The following is an 18,434-nucleotide window of genomic DNA, read 5'->3' as shown; positions in this document are numbered from 1 at the left end:
AACATGCACACACATGCATGTATATAAATGGATAAAAAAAGAAAAATATAATAAGTAAACAAATGAAATAAAAAAGAACAAAACCCATGAATATATTTTGAAAATACAGTTTTCCCACTGACTACTTCTGCAATAAGTTTAGTTCCAGGCACATTTGCAAGTAAAAATTGCTTTTCTATTAACCTTCCATCAAATCTTGTTGCTTTCTTCCTTCTCCATCTTCATTAAATTATCTACACTTTATTCCAGAACACACTCCCTGTACCATATTTCTCAACTTGCCCATGACTCTCTATAGAAAAATGCATGTGCTTCTTAAGTATTACATTTAAGACTTAACAGAAAGTGTTTCCAACTTCTTTTCTAAGTCTTACCATTCATACCTTCCATGAAACCCCAGCACTAATGCTGCTGACAGGATTTAAAAAGTTTTAACCACCCATGTGGCCATGACCTTGTACTAGTAGCTGATGGGGACTACACAATATAAGTCACAAATTGTGCTGTCCAAAGTTTTGTTAAAACCTGATTCATGAGGTATGTCAAAAAAAAAAAAAAGGAAAATGGAGCAAGTGAGATTTGAACTGCAGTGTCTCAGAGAGAAAAAAAAATATTGGAATAAAACATAGAGGTAAAGTAGGAAGAGACATCTTCAAAGTATAGCTAATAGGCAGTCCTGCTTAGCAAAGCATAAATTAGAGGAATTGTACAGGGTCTTATGCACAGAGCCTTGAATGTCACTCAATGGACATTGACCTTGATCCTGAACACAGTGCAGAGCTCTGGATGAGATTTTCTTAATGGTCAGGGGTAATTATTTCTGGAGTGCGGGATGGTGTGGAAAGATCATTTTCAGATTCCAGTGAAAATTAGAATCATGGAGAAACCCTAGAGAAGTAAGGCATTGTAACTTCAGGGAAGGCCATGCATCTTGAGATATATGATACTGTAATAATAGAACAAGGCCGATTATATATCCATATCTATATAATCTACTTCTATATCTATCTATGCCTATGTTCATATACATATCTCAGATATTGATTCTCTATACCCATTATGACCTGGATATTGGTATTATTGTGGCCATTTCTACCTCATCACACGTTCTGGAGAATTGTTTTGGACACTTCCTGAAAAGAGAACTTTTTCACATGATTACTCCCTAGTCTAATTTGCTTTCATCTAATTAGTTCTTTTACTTTTTAAATAATATTTTCCTCAAGATACAAAAGGAACACCTGTTATATACCAAATTGACATTAGTAAATCTTAATCTCCTAAAAATGTTTTTAAATAGACCTTCAGACAAAAACTTTTGTTCATGTTGAAACAAAGCAATAACACTAAAAGTTTCCCATTGTATTTCAAGTCCTCCTATTTTTTCAGGTCTTCCAGCCTCCTCCACTAGGGAACTCTTTTCCTTCACTCCACATAGTGCCCGAGACTTGGACCATCTCAAAAAGTGTTCATTCCCTTTAAAATTATTGATAGACAGGTGTTTCATATGAGGGTTCACTGTGTTACAGGAACTTTAATGTGCATTTTCTTTCTACAATTTCATTGATCCTCACGACATCCTGGAGACTAATCTTTATTATCTTCATTTTAAATTTCAGGAAACGGAGGATGAGATAATTTGGGATTTTCAGAAGTCACACAGCTAATAAGTGACAGAACCAGGATTCTGTCCCAGATATGTCTGACTCCTACCAGGCTTGTAACTGTGATGGCATAGACATGTATTTACACACACATGCGTACACACACACACACACACAGAATCTGGGACACATCAGGGACATTAAAAGACTTCTGTAAAATTTTGGTTTAAATGATACCATCAGGGATATAGAAAAAGAGGACTTGGGAGGCCAAACTCCAAGAAAAAGGCCTAAGGCAGCTCCAAGAAAAATGAGGTGGCACTGATGGGAGCTATTCTGATCTCCTGTGGAGGGAGGCAGGTGAGAAGCTGCTGGTTATCACCTGGTCATACAACCCATGTTGTAAGGTCCTCTTATGCCCAGGTGCTGCCTCACCCATCAGGAGCACAGCCCAAGACCAGGATAAAAGGGCCTCCTTGATACTGTTCCAGTGTGAGATTCAGGAAAAGACTCTCTCATCTCCATAAATAATTAACACTCAATCATTAGTAAAGTCTTGTTCAGGACTGCACACTGTTTAAGGGTAAATGTCCAAATTCCTGCAGTGAAATAAGACTTTGTGTGCTCCCTCGCATTTAAGCCTTTGTCATGTACTCTCAGAAATGACCTGAAGCTGAACTGGATTATTTTTTTGTACTTTGATTATGCTTCTCTCTGTGATGCAAGCCATGGTCTCTGCCCTTCCAGGACAGCGTGGCTCAATCCCACTTTTTTTTTCCCTTCCTGTGGCATATCACTCTAATGAGATAATAGTAAATTATTTGATGGCCTGCCTTGAGTGTTTTATATTTCTTTACCTCAATATTCAACACAGAGCTATGCACACAATGGATATTTAATGACTTTTAAATCCTCTCATTGGTAACAGCATTGACTTTACAGTTTATAAACAGCTATTCCTTATGACTCAGGCCATCCTTATAGGAGACACACTCTGAGACAGGCTCAGTGAGGTGTGTGAGCCACATCACCTTGAGAGGTCTGACACCGTCTTTCTTGGGTATGACATTTGTTCTCCTGCTCAGATTGTTCCAAAAGGCTTAGTAATGGGGCAGTGGTCAGGACATTGGTTCCCAGGTTGTCACAATGGCAGGTATACTCAGAAGTTCAACTCCTGGTATCTAGGATGATGGGTCTGGGATGCCATCTGGTCCATGCCTCTGCCTTCATGCAGGGCAACCCCAAGCCCTCAACTGACGTAACTCAGATGTAGGTGATGAGTCAGCAACATAGTTGTATCAGGAAGACTGGAAATTAAGTCTTGGCTTTGAGAAATCACAGCCTAGCTATCAGGTCAATACAGACATGTTGATCAGCAAAGCACTGACTTTTCTGAGGGTCAAGGCATTTATCTTTTACATCATCAACATTTTATCATAACATGGGATGGAAGGAAACATTATTGAGATCTAACTGGAAATATAATACTTTAAGCAGAGTTATATTTTTATCTCTGTGCATCAGAGCCAGCACCAAGGAAACTGGTGATCTTGTTTTGCTTTCTCATCTTGACAAACTCTTAATAATTATACATGAAGGAACTCATACAACTGAATGGCAACAACCAAACAACCCAATTTAAAAACGAGCAAAAGACTGAATAGCTATTTCTCAGACATACAAATGTCCAACAGGTATACAGAAAAAGTTTCTCAATCTCACTAATCATCAGGGAAATGCAAATCTGAACCACAATGAGATATCGCTTCATGCCTGTTAAAGTGGCTATTATCAGAAGGATGAAATATAACGTGTTGGCAAGGATGTGGCAAAAAGGGAATTCTTGTACACTGTTGGTGGAAATATAAATTGGTACAGCCATTATGTAAAACCGTATGGAATTTCCTAAAAGTATAGAAAATAAAACTACCTCATGATCTGCTAACTCCACTTCTGGAAATAAAATCAGTATTTTCCAGAGATATCTGTACTCCCAGCATTATTTCGGCATTATTAGCAATAACCAAGATCTGGAAACAACCTAAATTTCTGTCAGTGGATGAATGAATTTTAAAAATTCTGAATATATATACTATATAGCAGAAGGAATATTATTCAGCCTTAAAAAAGAAGACAATCCTTGATTCTGCTGATGTGATGCATTATGTCTATTTATTTGCATATGTTGAACCATTCTTGCATTTCTGGGATGAATCCCACTTGATCATGGTGAATAATCTTTTCAGGGTAGTATTGAATTCTGTTTGCTAGTATTTTGTTGAGGATTTCTGCATCTATATTCATCAGAGATATTGGTCTGTAGTTTTCTTTTTCTATTGTGTCTGTTTGGTTTGGTATCAGTGTGATTCTGGCCTTGTAGAATGAGTTTAGAAGTATTTGGTGTTCTTCAGTTTTTTGAAATAGTTTGAGTAGAATCAGAATTAGCTCTTCTTTAAATGTTTGGTAGACTCCAGTAAGGAATCTATCAGGTCTGGAGCTTTTTCTTGATGGGAAACTTTTTATTACTGCTTTAATCTCATTACTCATTATTGGTCTGTTCAGGTTCTCTATTTCTTTATGGTTCAATCTCAGTAGGTTGTCCAGTAATTTATCTATTTTTTTCCAGGTTTTCCAATTTGTTGGTGTACAGTTGTTCATAACAGTCTCTAATTATCCTTTATATTGCTGTGATACAAGTTATTATGTTTCATTTTTTACCTGATTTCATTTTTCTGGGGCTTCTCTCTTTTTTTCTTGGTCTAGCTTAAGTTTTGTCAATAGAGGCTGAAAAAGCATTCAATAAAATTCAACATCTCTTGGTGGTTAAAAACCTTCAAGACATTGCATGTAGAAGGAACATACCTCAACATGATAAAACCCACACCTAATACTATACGGAATGAAGAAAAATGGAGAGGCTTTCTACTAAGTATGAAATAGGACAAGGATGCCCACTTTCACCACTTTAATTCAACATATGGTAGAAGTCCTAACCGGAGTAATTAGCCAAGGAAAAGAGATAAGTGGCATCCAGATTTCAAAGGAAGAAGTCAAATTATCCTTTTTGCAGATAACATGATATTAGATTTAGAAAAACTAAAGACTCCACCAAGAAACTCTTAGAAATGACAAATTTAGTAAAGTGGCAGGATACAAAATCAACATACAAAAATCAGTAGTGTTTCTATACACTTATAGAAATCAATCTGAAAAAGAAATCAAGAAAACAATCTCATTTATAATAGCCACAAAAATAAAATAGCCAGAAATAAATTTAACCAAAGAAGTGAAAGAACTACAATGAAAGCTAAAAGCATTGATGAAGAAATAGAAGAAGACACAAACAAATGGAAAGATGTCTCAGGCTCATGAACTGGAAGAATTAATATTGTTAAAAAGTCTACAGTATTCAAAGTGGTCTACAGGTTCAATGCAATCTCTGTTGAAATACCACGAGAGCCAATTCTCCCTAATAAACTTCCTTTCATATATACATATATCCTATTAGTTCTGTCCCTCTGGAGAACCCTGACTAATACAACAGAAAAAAAAGGCTTAACATTTTTATGGAACCATAGAAGACTCCAAATAGCGAAAGTGCTCCTGAGTAAAAAAGAATAAAGCTGGAGGCATCATACTACCTGATTTCAAATTATACTACAAAGTTATACTAACCAAAACAGTATAGTGCTGGCATAAAAACAGATGTATGAACCAAAAAAAAAAATAGAAAATCCAGAAGTAAATCCATAAACTTATAGCCTATTTTTAAACCTTACTGCAAATAATGATTAATAAATAATCAACTACATTTTTAGAGTGTTCCTTGCAATTGTGGTTACAAAAGAGTGTATACATTTGGTAAAACTAATTGAATTGTTTATTTTAAAAAGGGGTTTTATTGTGTGAAAGTTATAGATCAATAAAAGTGATTTAAGTTTAAAAACTAAAGATTTATTCCATATAATGTGAGTATATATAAATATGTGTGTATATATATACATGTACACACACATATATTTATATGTCTACTACGTGTACATACAATCTGAAGGAGGAGTCCGGGGAGATTGTTAGTGGAAGGAGTGGGGAACGAGGAACACAAGAGTGAAGAGGTGACAGTGAGAAGGAGGATGAAGTCGGCCTCCTGGCCATGCCTGAGGGATGCGGTTACATAGGTGAAAGGAACCAGAATTTGAAAGAAAAATATTTCTCAATGCTATTTCAGTCCCTTGGTTTAAAAGGAAAACACAGAAAGAAGAAAAAACACAAAACACACAGAAATGCAAGCTTTTTCCTCCTGACCCCTTCCCCATCCTCTGTCCACCAAGGCCTCAGCAGCCACCAGCAGACACAGGGGAGCAGAACAAGGATGACACAAACAGGAAAATCAAGCAGGCTGGTAGCAAATTGGGGAGCAGATTCTGGATTTTATTTCTTCAGTTCAGGCAGCACAGAATACAGTAGCGTGAGCTGGGGAGGAAGTAGGTGTGTGCTTTGGAGTTCCCAGGGCAGCCATGGATCTGCAGAAGAAAGTCTCTAAATGCCATTAAGGAGAAAGATTTTGGGTTTCCTGACACCAGAGCAGAGGGATTCTCCAGGCAAGACTTCAAGCTTTTGCTGGAACCTCTCAGCTATTCAGGCAGAATCAGAAGGAAGAGGAAGTCAAGGTCCACTTCAGCAGCAGCCTCCAGAGTGCTGGCTGCTGCCCCCACCGCAGCAGCTGGAGCCCCCCGAGGGCTGGCTGCAGCAGTCAGAGCTCTGGGGTCTGCGACGGTGGGACCTGTGGCGCCTGTGGTGGCTCAGGCAGCAGCCACCACCCCCAGAGCTGCAGCAGCCCCCAGAGTTGGAGCCACAGCCGCCCCCAGAGCTGGAGCCACAGCAGCCTCCGGAGCTGACACTGCAGCAGGAAGAGACTGGAGGGCACTTAGGGGGACATTTAGGGGCGGGGCACTTGGGAGTGCACTTGGGAGTGCACTTGGGAGGGGGCTGGCACTGCTGCTGGCTCTGCTGGCAGGACATCTCGGTGGTGGGTGTTCAGGAGCTGAGGGAGAGTCAAATAACAAGTCAGACCCAGGCAGAGGCCACCTCTGCCCCTGTGACACTCTTAGCACCTCTCAAGTTTAAAAGCATCATCTTCAGTAGTTTTATTTCCAATAATTTCCTCAAAATCTCACATCATCTTTTTCAAGATATCTTTGGATGTCAGACAACTGTAAACTAAGACTAAACAATATTGCAAAATGCATCTAAGATTCTGATGTGTTGTCAGTGGAGGAAGAAATTATTACAAATATATCTTAAGACTGAAATTGTCTAATTTATGAGTCATTTAAGAGAAAATTATTTTTAAAGGAGAAGAAGCAGTCATTCTCTCTGGTCATAATTTGCAAGACGATTTTACTTTGGAAGGTCAGCATTGTGCAGGATCTTGGAGACTACTAGGTCAGTAAACTCACTTCAATAGAGACAGATAAACTTAGCAGTTTCTGCAGACTAGTACTTGAACCCTGACCCCCTGATCTCAGGTTGGAGCTCAGACTTCCTCACTCACCACCTGCTCAGGCTGATGGGATGACACGGTGGGTCTCAGGCTTGGTGTGTCCTAACCAAGCTGGGAAGTTTGTGAACAAATCTCAGACCCATGAAAATGTGGGGTTCATAAACCCCAAAGAGTCTTTAGTCCCATGTCCACAGCTCCAGTTCTTCCCTTGCAGGCAGAGACAGGGTTGTATCTTCAGAGGTGGGCTTCCCTCCTGTGGGCTGCCAGAGTGGAGCAGGTCTCTGTGCTTCAAAGTTCCCACTCTGGAACACCCACCTCATCCCAGAGCAGTTTGTTTCCTCTAGAGTTCAAAGGCACATGGCACAGCCCGCCAGCTCTTTTCCTCTTTTCCTTCCTGCTCCCAGTTAGTGCCAGACCCCTTTTGGCCCCCGCCCCTTCAGTCTTTTCTAAACTCTCCACCTCTGACAACATGGCCCTAGCCCCGGAGGCCCTGCCCCTCCTTCCCTCCTGCTCTGTTCTGAGCATCCCTGCTCTGTTCTTACCGGAGTCACAGGCAGCACAGGGTTCTTTAGCACCTCAGGAGGTGAGTGGATGGGGTGGTCTGGCCCTGAGCCCTTTTATCCTGGCCTGGGCTCTGCCCCAGCTGTGAGACAGGGCCTGGGCATGAGAGGACCTTCCTTCTGACACCCACGTGGGTCTTGTGATGGTTGGTGACTGACAGCTCCTCACCTGCCTCTCTCCCCAGGCTCAAGGCAGCCACTCCCAGGTAGGAAAGTGCCTACTTGAAACGGGGTTCCAGGATGACTCCTACCATCACCTACCTCATTCACTTGAAGGCTGCTTGCCCTGAGAGCCTCTCAGTTCTCAGTCTTAGAACTTAGGACCTATCTCATTTCTGTCTCTTCCGAAGTACCTGATGCTCCGTGCAGCCTGGGTTGAAGTTGAAGTACTAATCCCTGAGGTTTCCATGCATGTTTATTTCTGTCCCTGTGCACCACCAAACTGTGTGGCTGTGGGTGCAGTGTAGACATCTACACAAGTAAAACCCTGGAAGTATAACCCGGCCCAGGACCAGGCCCTGCGAGATGGGACTGTTGAAACTATTTAGCCTGTACCATTTTTTAAACCATAAAGCTGGAAGATGAAAAAGAATTAGTTACAGAAGAATTAGTTGGTTGTGAAAGTCAATAAAGTAACACAAAAAAGAGAAAATGTGCCTGACAGAGAGACTGAAACATTGTAGGCTCTGAATAAGTGAAACATTCATAACTTGCTGAATACAGAATGAAGATACTGATCTTTGTTTAACAAACGAAGCACAGCTTTTTTCTAATGAGAGTGAGTCTGGCTGTTTGGTGATCTGTTTGCTTTTAAATAGCCCTTTTCTTCTGGTGGGGTCCTTGATGTGTCAGCACTGAGATGTGAACAAGGAAGCAGCTCATTAGAGAAACAAGAAGCAGCAGCTCTGCTCTTTGTATTGGTGTGAGAATTTGGACTTTTCTGGGTTCACACTGGGAGCACCGGATGATGGTCACAGATGAGAAACAGGAAGAAAAGAGACATGGTTGTGAGACATTATAAGTCTACGCTTCCATGTGGGGTCAAATGGCTGGCAGAACCCCGTCCTGGACCATAAGGGGACGGGTGCCTTTTAAGAACAAGAGTCCTTAATATTTAATGTGAATGTGTTTATGCTGCTACTTTGGAAGCCCCTCTCCTCTCTCTCCACTAGAATCACTAGCTTTCTACATGTCCACAGGATTTATATGAATGGAGTGTTCTGAATTTATACATTTTTAGGATATTAATGAAATGGGCTGCTGTTCATTCTAGGACACACTAGTCACTAAGACAGCCATGACTGCAAGGTTATCCACAAATTAAACTATTTCTTCAGAGGAAGACCAAGAAAAGCCAGATTAAACCATATGAGGGACAAGTCCTCTTCTTCCCAGCCCCTGACAGACTCTGGATATGCCCAGAACTTGGGAATGATATCTAGGTCAAAATGGACATGGTGACCCTAACCAAAACGTGGTGGAGATACATGTATATTTATAAACACATATACAGAGCATACATATTGAGAGAGATGTATATGTGTGTGTACCACCTGTCTCAGAGCATCAATTATTACAGCTGCCCAGACTCCTGTGATAACGTAGTATCTCCAAACACTGTAGTGTGTCTTTGATTCTGTTCTTTTATGACATCCAAGAAAACATCTTCCATCCCTGTACATAATTAACACTAAATCATTAGTAAAGTCTTGTTCATGATTGCACACTGTATAAGGGTAAATGTCCAAATTCCTTCAGTGAAATAAGACTCTGTGTTCTCCCTTTAGTTTAAGCCTTTGTCATCTACTCTCAGAAATGTTCTGAAACTGAACTGGATTATATTCTGTACTTTGATTATGCTTCTCCCTGCAGTGCATGCCGTGGCCTCTACCCTTCCAGGACAGTGTGGCTCAATCCCACTTTTTTATTTATCCTTCATGTGGCATATCACTCTAATGAGATAACAGTAAATGCTTTGATGGCCTGCCTTGGGTGTTTCATACTTCTTACCTCCGTTTTTCAACACAGAGCTATGTGCACAATGGATATTTAATGACTTTTAAATGCTCTCATTGGTATTAGCATTGATTTACAGTTTATAAACAGCTATTCCTTATGACTCAGGCCACCCTCATAGGAGACACACTCTGAGACAGGCTCAGTGAGGTGTGTGGGCCACATCACCCTGAGAGGTCTGACACCATCCCTCCTGGGTATGACATTTGTTCTCCTGCTCAGATTGTTCCAAAGGGCTTAGTAATGGGGGAGTGGTCAGGACATTGGTTCCCAGGTCGTCACAATGGCAGGTCTACTCAGAAGTTCAACTCCTGGTATCTAGGATGATAGGGCTGGGATACCATCTGGTCCATGCCTCTGTCTTCATGCAGGGCAACACCCAAGCTCTCAACTGACATAACTCAGATGTAGGTGTTGAGTCAGCAACATAGTTGTATTAGGAAGATTGGAACTTGAATCTTGGCTATGAGATATCATGGCTTAGCTATTAGGTCAAATAAGATATCTTGTCCAGCAAAGCACTGACTTTCTGAAATTTCCTATTTGTCAAGGTTTTTCTCTTTTAGGTAGTCAAAAATTCACCGTCTCATGGGATGTGAGTGAATACTATTGCGATCTAACCAGAAATAATTCAAATGGAATAATTTTTTGTATGTGTTCTATAACCAGTAACAAGTTAAGTTAGTAATCTTTGTTTTGTTCTTTCCATATCTACAACCCTTTAAACAATTACAGTGATGAGAAAATACTATTAAAGTCTAGAAGAAAATTCTATTCTATTTAAATAGTATATTTTAAAAATATTTTTATTGCTGTTGTTGTTATGATTGTTAATATATTGATATACTGCAACTGTGTTGAACTCTCCTAAATTTTTGCAGTGAATACTTTCCTAAAAAAATTGGTAAAATACATAATCCAAAATTTACTGTCTTAATCATTTTTTTAGTGCACAGTTTAGTAATGTTAAATAGCATCACATCGTTGTGTAGCCAATCTCTAGAATTTTTGTCTTCTTGCAACACTGAAACTCTACGCTCATTAAACAACAGTTCTCTCTTACTCCCTCTCCCCAGCCCCTGGCAATCACCATTTTACTTTCTTTTTCTATGAAATGGACTACACCCCATATCTCACATAAGTGGAATCATACAGTGTTTGTCTTTTTGTGACTGGCTTATTTGATTTAGCATATCTTTAGGATTCATTCATATTGTAGCATGTGCATAAATTTCTTACCTTTTTAAGGCCATATAATATCACATTGTATGTGTATGCCTCCTTTTGCTTCTATAATCATCCAGCAGTGAATGCTTGGATTGCTTCCACCTTTTAGCTATTGTGAATAATAAAGCTATGAACGTGGGTGTACAAGTACCCTGTCAAGACTCTACTTTCAATCTTTTTGTATTGTATATACCCACAAGTGGAATTGCTGGACCCTATGTTAATTCTATTAACTTTTTGAGGAATCACCATGCTCTTTTTCATAGTAATTATACCATTTTATATGCTCACCAACAGTGCACAAGGGTTCTAATTCCTCCACATCCTCACCAACACTTGTTATTTTCTGTTTTGTTTTGCTTTATTTTTTATAGTAGTCATTCTCTCGGGTTTGAAGTGATATCTTACTGTGGGTTTTACTTTAAATAATTTAATCTAATTATGAATGGTGTTGAGCATACTTTCATGTGTCTTTTGGCTATTTGTAAATTTCTTTTGGATAAGTGTCTATTCAAGTTTTTTTTTCCATTTTTAATAAGGTTGTTTGTTTACTTGTTGTTTAATTGTGGGGGTTCTTTACATATTTTGTATAGCAACCCACTACCAGATACACGATTTGCTAATATTTGCTCCCATAACAAAGATTTCCTTTTCATGGTATTGACTTTGTTCACTGATTCACATACATTTCTAATGTTTATGTAGTCTAATTTATCTATTTTTACATTTGTTGCCTGTGCTTTTGGTATCATAGTTAAGAAATCATTGTCAAATCCAATGTCATGAAGATTTCCTCCTATGTTTCCTTTTAGAAATTTTGTAGTTTATTTATTTATTTATTTATTTTGAGATGGAGTCTTGCTCTGTCGTGCAGGCTGGAGTGCAGTTGCATGATCTTGGCTCACTGCAACCTCCACCTCCCGGGTTCAAGCGATTCTCCTGCCTCAGCCTCCCAAGTAGCTGGGACTACAGGTATGCACCACCATACACAGCTAATTTTTGTATTTTTAGTAGAGATGGGGTTTCACCATGTTGGCCAGCCTGGTCTCTATCTCTTGACCTTGTGATCTGCCTGCCTTGGCTTCCCAAAGTGCTGGGATTACAGGGGTTAGCCACCACGCCCAGCCTGTAGTTTTAACTCTATGTTTATGTCTTTGATCCTTAATGAGTTAATTTTTGTGTATGGTGTAACCTGAGGGTCCAGCTTCATGCTTTTGCATGTGCATATCTAAATTTCCCAACACCACCTGTTGAAAAGATTGTCCTTTCTCCATTGAGTGGTATTGGCACCCTTATCAAGAATCATTTTAATCAGCTAGGCATGATAGTTTGTGCCTATAGCTCCAGCTACTCGGGAGGCTGAGACAGGAGGATTGCTTGAGTCCAGGAGTTTGAGTCCTGCCTGGGCAACATAGCAAGATCCTGTTTTTGGACAAAAAAAGAATAATTTGACCATATATATGAAGGTTTATTTATTTTAAGTTTCTCTGCTACTCTTCTATTCTATTTCATTGACCTATATGTCTATCTTTATGCCAATAACACATTATTTTCATTATGGTTGCTTTGTTGTAATAAATTGTGTTAATTTACTTTTATTTTTTTTTAGAGACAAGGTCTCACTATGTTGCTCAGGCTTGTCTAGAACTCCTGGGATCAAGGGATCCTCTATCCTCTGCCTCCTGAGTGGCCGAGACTACAGGTATGCACCACTATGTCTGTCTGTGATAAGTTTTAAAGTCAGGAAGTATGTGACTCTAACTATATTTTTCTTCTTCAGCATTGGTTTGGCTATTTGAGGAATAATTCACAATTAGTCAAGGTGTATAATCCTTTTGATATGCTGTTGAGGATTTTTATCATCCCTCAATATCATCAGAGATATTGTTATGTAGTTTTCTGGCTTTGGCATCAGGATAATGCTGGCCTCAGAGAACGAATTCATAAATGTCCTCATTTCTTCAATTTTTTGGAAGCATTGAGTAAGATTTGTGTTGATTTCTCTTCAAATGTTTGGTAGAATTAATGAGTGAAGCTGTCTGGTCCTGCACTTTATTCTGTTGGCAGAGTTTTGATCTTTGCTAGTTATAGGTCTTTTCAGATTTGTTTCTAGGGATCTATCCATTTCATCTAGGTTATCCAATTTAGCATACAATTGTTCATGGTATTCTCCTATAATTTTTTATTTCTATAAGTTAGTTGTAATGCCTTCCCTCTCATTTTTATTTTAGTTCTTTGATTCTTCTCTTTTTTCTTCTTCAAGCTAGTGAAAAGTTTATCAGTTTTTGTGGTCTTCTCAAAGAACAAACTTTTGGTTTTGTTGATTTTCACTATTGATTTTTCTAGTTTTCACTTCATTTATTTCTGTCCTAATCTTTTTTTATTTCCTCATTCCTTCTACTAGCTTTGATGCAGACGGTTTTTTTTTTTGTTGTTGTTGTTTGTTTGTTTGTTTTATTTTTTTAATTTTCTTTTGGTTTCTTAAGTCTTAAGGTGTAAAACTAGGTTACTGATTTGAGATTTTTTTTCTTTTTAATGTAAGAGTTTATAGGTATAAATTCCTCTCCTAGCACTGCTTTCTTTGCATCTCATAAATTTTGGTATGCTGTGTTCTCATTTTCATTTTCTCAAGATATGTTATAACTTCCTTTGTAATTTTTACTCTGACCCATTGGTTGTATAAGAGTGTGTTGTTTAATTTCCACATATTTGTGGATTTTCCAGTTTTCCTTTTGCTACTGAATTCTAGTCTTATTCCATTGTAGTTGGAAAAAGATATTTGTCTAGTTTCAGTATTTTAACATTTATTAAGACTTGTTTTGTGGGCTTCCGTATGAGGCCTATCCGGGAGAATGTTGCATGTGTATTTGAGATAAATGTGTACTCTGCTAATCCCAGGTGGAATGTTCTGCATATGTCTTTTGGTCCAATTGATGTATAGTGTATTCCATGTCCTCTGTATACTTATTGATATTCTGTATGGTTGTTCTACCTATTACTGAAAGTGGAATATGAAGTCTCTTACTATTATTAAAGACCTCTCCATTTCTCCCTTTAACTCAGTCAATATTTGCTTCGTATATGTTGGAGCTCTGATTTGAGGCACATGTGTGTTTATAATGGTTCTATATTCTTGTTAAATTATTCCTTTTATCATTATGTAATGTCCTTATTTGTCTTTTGTAACAGTCTTTGAGTTAAAGTCTATTTTGTCTAATAAGTCTCAGGTTTTTTCGCTTTATTTTCATTTTCCTCCTCAAATTCAATAATTTCAAATAACTTGTCTTCAAATTTGCTGATTCTTTCTTCTGCCTCTTTGACTCTGCTGTTGAACTTCTCTAAATAATTTTTCTATTAAGTTATTGTATTCTTCAGCCCCAGAACTTCTTTGTGAGTTTTTGTAAAAATAATTTCTATCTGTTGATATTTTTATTTGTTAATACATAATTTTCTTAATTTTATTAGTTGTCTCTGTGTGTTCTCCTTTAATTCTTTGAGCATTTAAGACAATTGTTTTAAAGCTTCTTCAAGGAATTCAGTGGCTTGTGTTTCTTTAAAGTCAGTTTCTAGAGATATATTTTGTTTCTGTAAATAGGTCAATCCTCTGTCTCTTTACATGCCTTGTGTTTCTTTTTTGTTGAAAATTAGATGTTTGCAAAAACAGCCATGTCTCTCCATCTTTGGGAGCTGGCTCTGTGCTGTGGAAAACCTTCAGTGTAGTGTGAAGGCTCAAGAGTCCTCTCAAACCTTTTCTGGGGATGCACCTTCCCTGAGCAAGTGTTCGTGCTTGTGTTTGTGTTTGTGTGTGTGCACAGACACTTTTGTTTCAGTTCCCTGACTGCTTTTAAATGTCTACATTTTTCAGAGTCTTACTCTTGCTTCTTCTTGGAGACTTTGCCTATGATTTTCCTCTGCTGCTAATCTCTTGTCTTTAGGCACTTGCAAGTCTGCAGTCCCCTTGCAGCTGTTTCATGCCACAGTGCAGCCTCTGCTTTCAGCAGCCTTCAACCGAATATCCAGAATATGCCACTGACTCATTGGTGCTCTAAACTCAGGTGAGACAAAAACCAGTTCCTCACACAGTCCTCACACAACCCACAATCTTGCATGCAAGTTCCACTCTTTTCCTTCCATCTGTAAGAAAGGCTGAGAAATTGCGCAGCCTCCTCTGACCACACCACATTATGCGTAAGATGGGATGGGGTAGGGGTGAGCAAAAGCACCACAAAATTTCCTGCCATTTGAGTATGGTTACTTTCTTTATTAAAACTTTGCTTTGTTGCTGAAGCTTCTTACTTTGTTTTTAAAGTTTTCGGAAAGCTGTTTTTGTCTTTATATCATTGTCCAATGTCTCTGAAGTGAGCTAGAGCCTGGAGGTTCCTTATTTACCATCTTATGTCATCATCTGATGTCACTTCAGCAGTGAACACTCTTAAATATCTATTTTTTATTATTATATTTTGCCTCATTTGCCTAATACTAGAAATCCAATAAGTATTGGTAAATGAATAAATTAATCACCAAATAAATCTGTTGCATGAATTGTTATGCCAGTTAGCATTCTAAATTACAAAGAGTAAGTGATCATTTCCACATAGCTTCAACAACAATGTTTTGTAAGCTAAAATGCTCACAGAAAGCTTGTGAACCAATAATGAGTTCTCATCCCCAAAAGATGAGCTATGCTCTTTTTATTAATGAGATTAAATTGCTTTTAAAATCTAATTTCAGAAGTTATTGGTTTTCTTCATTAATTATTTGTGAATGAAATATGAATTCTGCCAAAACTTTTATAGGAACATTTATTTACTCAGTTTTTATGAACTCTATGTTTCTTACCAATATGAGTCATCTCCCTATCACATATATTATAATTTTCCCAAGTTAATTTTTTACCCTTCCTTGCTTTTAGTGGTACTATCTGATACTTAGAATTTCATTTTAATGTGGTTAACTGTATCCACATTTTCATTTATGTATTCTAGATTTTGTGTTATTTTGAAAATCTTCTCAATAAATTAACTACATTTTTGGTGTGTTATTGCAATTATAGTTATGCAGCTATAAATATTTGACAAAACTCATTTAATTTTACATTTAATTTTATTGAATTTTATTGCATGCAAATTATACAGCACTAAATGTGATTTAATTTTTTTACAATGCAGATTCATCTCATCTATGTGCATGTACATATGTGTGTGTGAATGCATGCACATACAGTATGGAGGAGGAGTCCAGGGAGATTGTTAGTGGAAGGAGTGGGGAACGAGGAACACAAGAATGAAGAGGTGATAGTGGGAAGGAGGATGAAGTCGGCCTCCTGGCCATGCCTGAGGGATGCGGTTACATAGGTGAAAGGAACCAGAATTTGAAAGAAAAATATTTCTCAATGCTATTTCAGTCCCTTGGTTTAAAAGGAAAACACCGAAAGAAGAAAAAACACAAAACACACAGAAATGCAAGCTTTTTCCTCCTGACCCCTTTCCCCATCCTCTGTCCACCAAGGCCTCAGCAGCCACCAGCAGACACAGGGGAGCAGAACAAGGATGACACAAACAGGAAAATCAAGCAGGCTGGTAGCAAGTTGGGGGGCAGATTCTGGATTTTATTTCTTCAGTTCAGGCAGCACAGAATACAGCAGCGTGAGCTGGGGAGGAAGTAGGTGTGTGCTTTGGAGTTCCCAGGGCAGCCATGGATCTGCAGAAGAAAGTCTCTAAATGCCATTAAGGAGAAAGATTTTGGGTTTCCTGACACCAGAGCAGAGGGATTCTCCAGGCAAGACTTCAAGCTTTTGCTGGAACCTCTCAGCTATTCAGGCAGAATCAGAAGGAAGAGGAAGTCAAGGTCCACTTCAGCAGCAGCCTCCAGAGTGCTGGCCGCTGCCCCCTCCACAGCAGCTGGAGCCCCCTGAGGGCTGGCTGCAGCAGTCAGAGCTCTGGGGTCTGTGACGGTGGGACCTGTGGTGCCTGTGGTGGCTCAGGCAGCAGCCACCTCCCCCAGAGCTGCAGCAGCCCCCAGAGCTGGAGCCACAGCTGCCCCCAGAGCTGGAGCCACAGCAGCCTCCGGAGCTGACACTGCAGCAGGAAGAGACTGGAGGGCACTTAGGGGGACACTTTGGAGGGCATTTGGGGGTGGGACACTTGGGAGGGCACTTGGGAGTGCACTTGGGAGGGGGCTGGCACTGCTGCTGGCTCTGCTGGCAGGACATCTCGGCAGTAGGTACTTAGGAGCTGAGGGAGAGTCAGACAGAAAATCAGACCTAGGCAGAGGCCACCTCTGCCCCTCTGACACTCTTAGCATGACTTGTAATTATGGAAACATCATGTCCAGTAGTTTCACTTCCAATACTTTCCCCAAATTCTCTCATCATCTCTTTGCAAGCTCAGGATACCCTTGTGTGTTATCTGCTACACAAAATTGTAAACTAAGACCAAACAATATTACAAAATGCATCTGACAGTCCAAAGTGTTATAAGTGAAGGAGGAAATTATTCCAAATATGTCTTCACACCCTGAAATTATATGATTTATAGGTCATTTAGGGAAAATTATTTCTTAAAGAGAAAAAGTAATCACTACCTTTTGTAACTTGCAAGGTAGTTTTACTCTGCAATATCCATACTACAAAAGATCTTGGATATTACTGGCTCAGTAAACTTACTTTGTTGAAGCAGAGACAGACAAACCCATAAATTCCTGCAGCCCTGGAATTTGAACCCTGGCCTCCTGATCTTAGGCTGGAGCTCAGATTTCCTCAGCTTACCACCTGCTCAGGCTGATGGGTGGGCATGGTGAGTCTCAGGTTTGGTGTGTCCTAATCAACCTGGGAAATTTGTGAACAAATCCCAGACCCATAAAAGTGTCGGTTCCATAAGCCCAAAGGAGCCTCTGGTCCCCTGTCCATGGCTCCAGCTCTTCCTTGCAGACAGGGACAAGGTTGTATTTTCAGAGGTGGGCTTCCTTCCTGTGGTCTGTCAGAGTGCCCCAGGTCTCTGTGCTTTAAGGTTTCCCATCCTGAGAGGACTGCTCCACCCTACAGCAGTTTTTTTTGGAGCCCAAAGGCACAGCCAACCAGTTATTCTTTCTGTCCCAGTTGTTACCAGTCTCCTCCCCCATGGAAGCCCTGCCCACCACTCCTCCTAACCTGATCTGAGCATCCCTCTGTGGAATCCCCTGCTTCTGTTCCCAGAGGACACATACCAAAGTCACAGGCAGCACAGGGTCCTTCGGCACCTCAGGAAGTGAGTGAATGGGGTGCTCTGGCCCTGAGCCCTTTTATCCCAGCCTGGGTTTCTGCCTCCTGTGGTGAGACAGGGCCTGGGCATGAGAGGACTTGCCCCCTGATACCCACGTGGGTCCTGTGATAGGTGGTGACTAGCAGCTCCTCACCTGCCTCCCTCCCCAGGCTGAGGGCACCTGCTGCTAGATAGGAGTAGGGCTGCTTAGAAACAAAGGGTGGGGACAGTTTATACAGGACCTTCTGCCCCATTCTTCCTGGTAAATCCCAGCCTTGACCGCTTT

General features: G+C 39.8%; 2 protein-coding genes across 2 annotated transcripts; both read right to left on the bottom strand.

Annotated features, from left to right (window-relative positions):
* Window positions 1-6,239: 6,239 nt before the first annotated feature.
* On the bottom strand, window positions 6,240-7,700 carry LCE1D (late cornified envelope 1D). Its single transcript, NM_178352.3, has 2 exons — window positions 7,650-7,700; window positions 6,240-6,648 (listed from the first exon to the last, which is right to left on the bottom strand). The coding sequence occupies exon 2, from the start codon at window positions 6,624-6,626 to the stop codon at window positions 6,282-6,284; it is 345 nt and encodes a 114-aa protein (NP_848129.1). The 5' UTR covers window positions 6,627-6,648; window positions 7,650-7,700; the 3' UTR covers window positions 6,240-6,281.
* Window positions 7,701-15,994: 8,294 nt separating this feature from the next.
* LCE1E (late cornified envelope 1E) lies at window positions 15,995-18,164 on the bottom strand. The gene is made up of 2 exons (NM_178353.2): window positions 18,114-18,164; window positions 15,995-17,143 (listed from the first exon to the last, which is right to left on the bottom strand). The coding sequence occupies exon 2, from the start codon at window positions 17,119-17,121 to the stop codon at window positions 16,765-16,767; it is 357 nt and encodes a 118-aa protein (NP_848130.1). The 5' UTR covers window positions 17,122-17,143; window positions 18,114-18,164; the 3' UTR covers window positions 15,995-16,764.
* Between the last annotated feature and the right edge of the window lie 270 nt (window positions 18,165-18,434).

The sequence above is a fragment of the Homo sapiens genome, chromosome 1, assembly GCF_000001405.40.
Source record: "Homo sapiens chromosome 1, GRCh38.p14 Primary Assembly".
Classification (NCBI taxonomy): domain Eukaryota; kingdom Metazoa; phylum Chordata; class Mammalia; order Primates; family Hominidae; genus Homo; species Homo sapiens.
The sequence above is the reverse complement of the archived record's forward strand: the minus strand, read 5'-3'. Positions and strand labels throughout refer to the sequence as shown.

Excerpts from the sequence above, each read along its gene's own strand:
- LCE1D (NM_178352.3), bottom strand. The coding sequence starts at position 6,626 with ATGTCCTGCCAGCAGAGCCAGCAGCAGTGCCAGCCCCCTCCCAAGTGC.
- LCE1E (NM_178353.2), bottom strand. The coding sequence starts at position 17,121 with ATGTCCTGCCAGCAGAGCCAGCAGCAGTGCCAGCCCCCTCCCAAGTGC.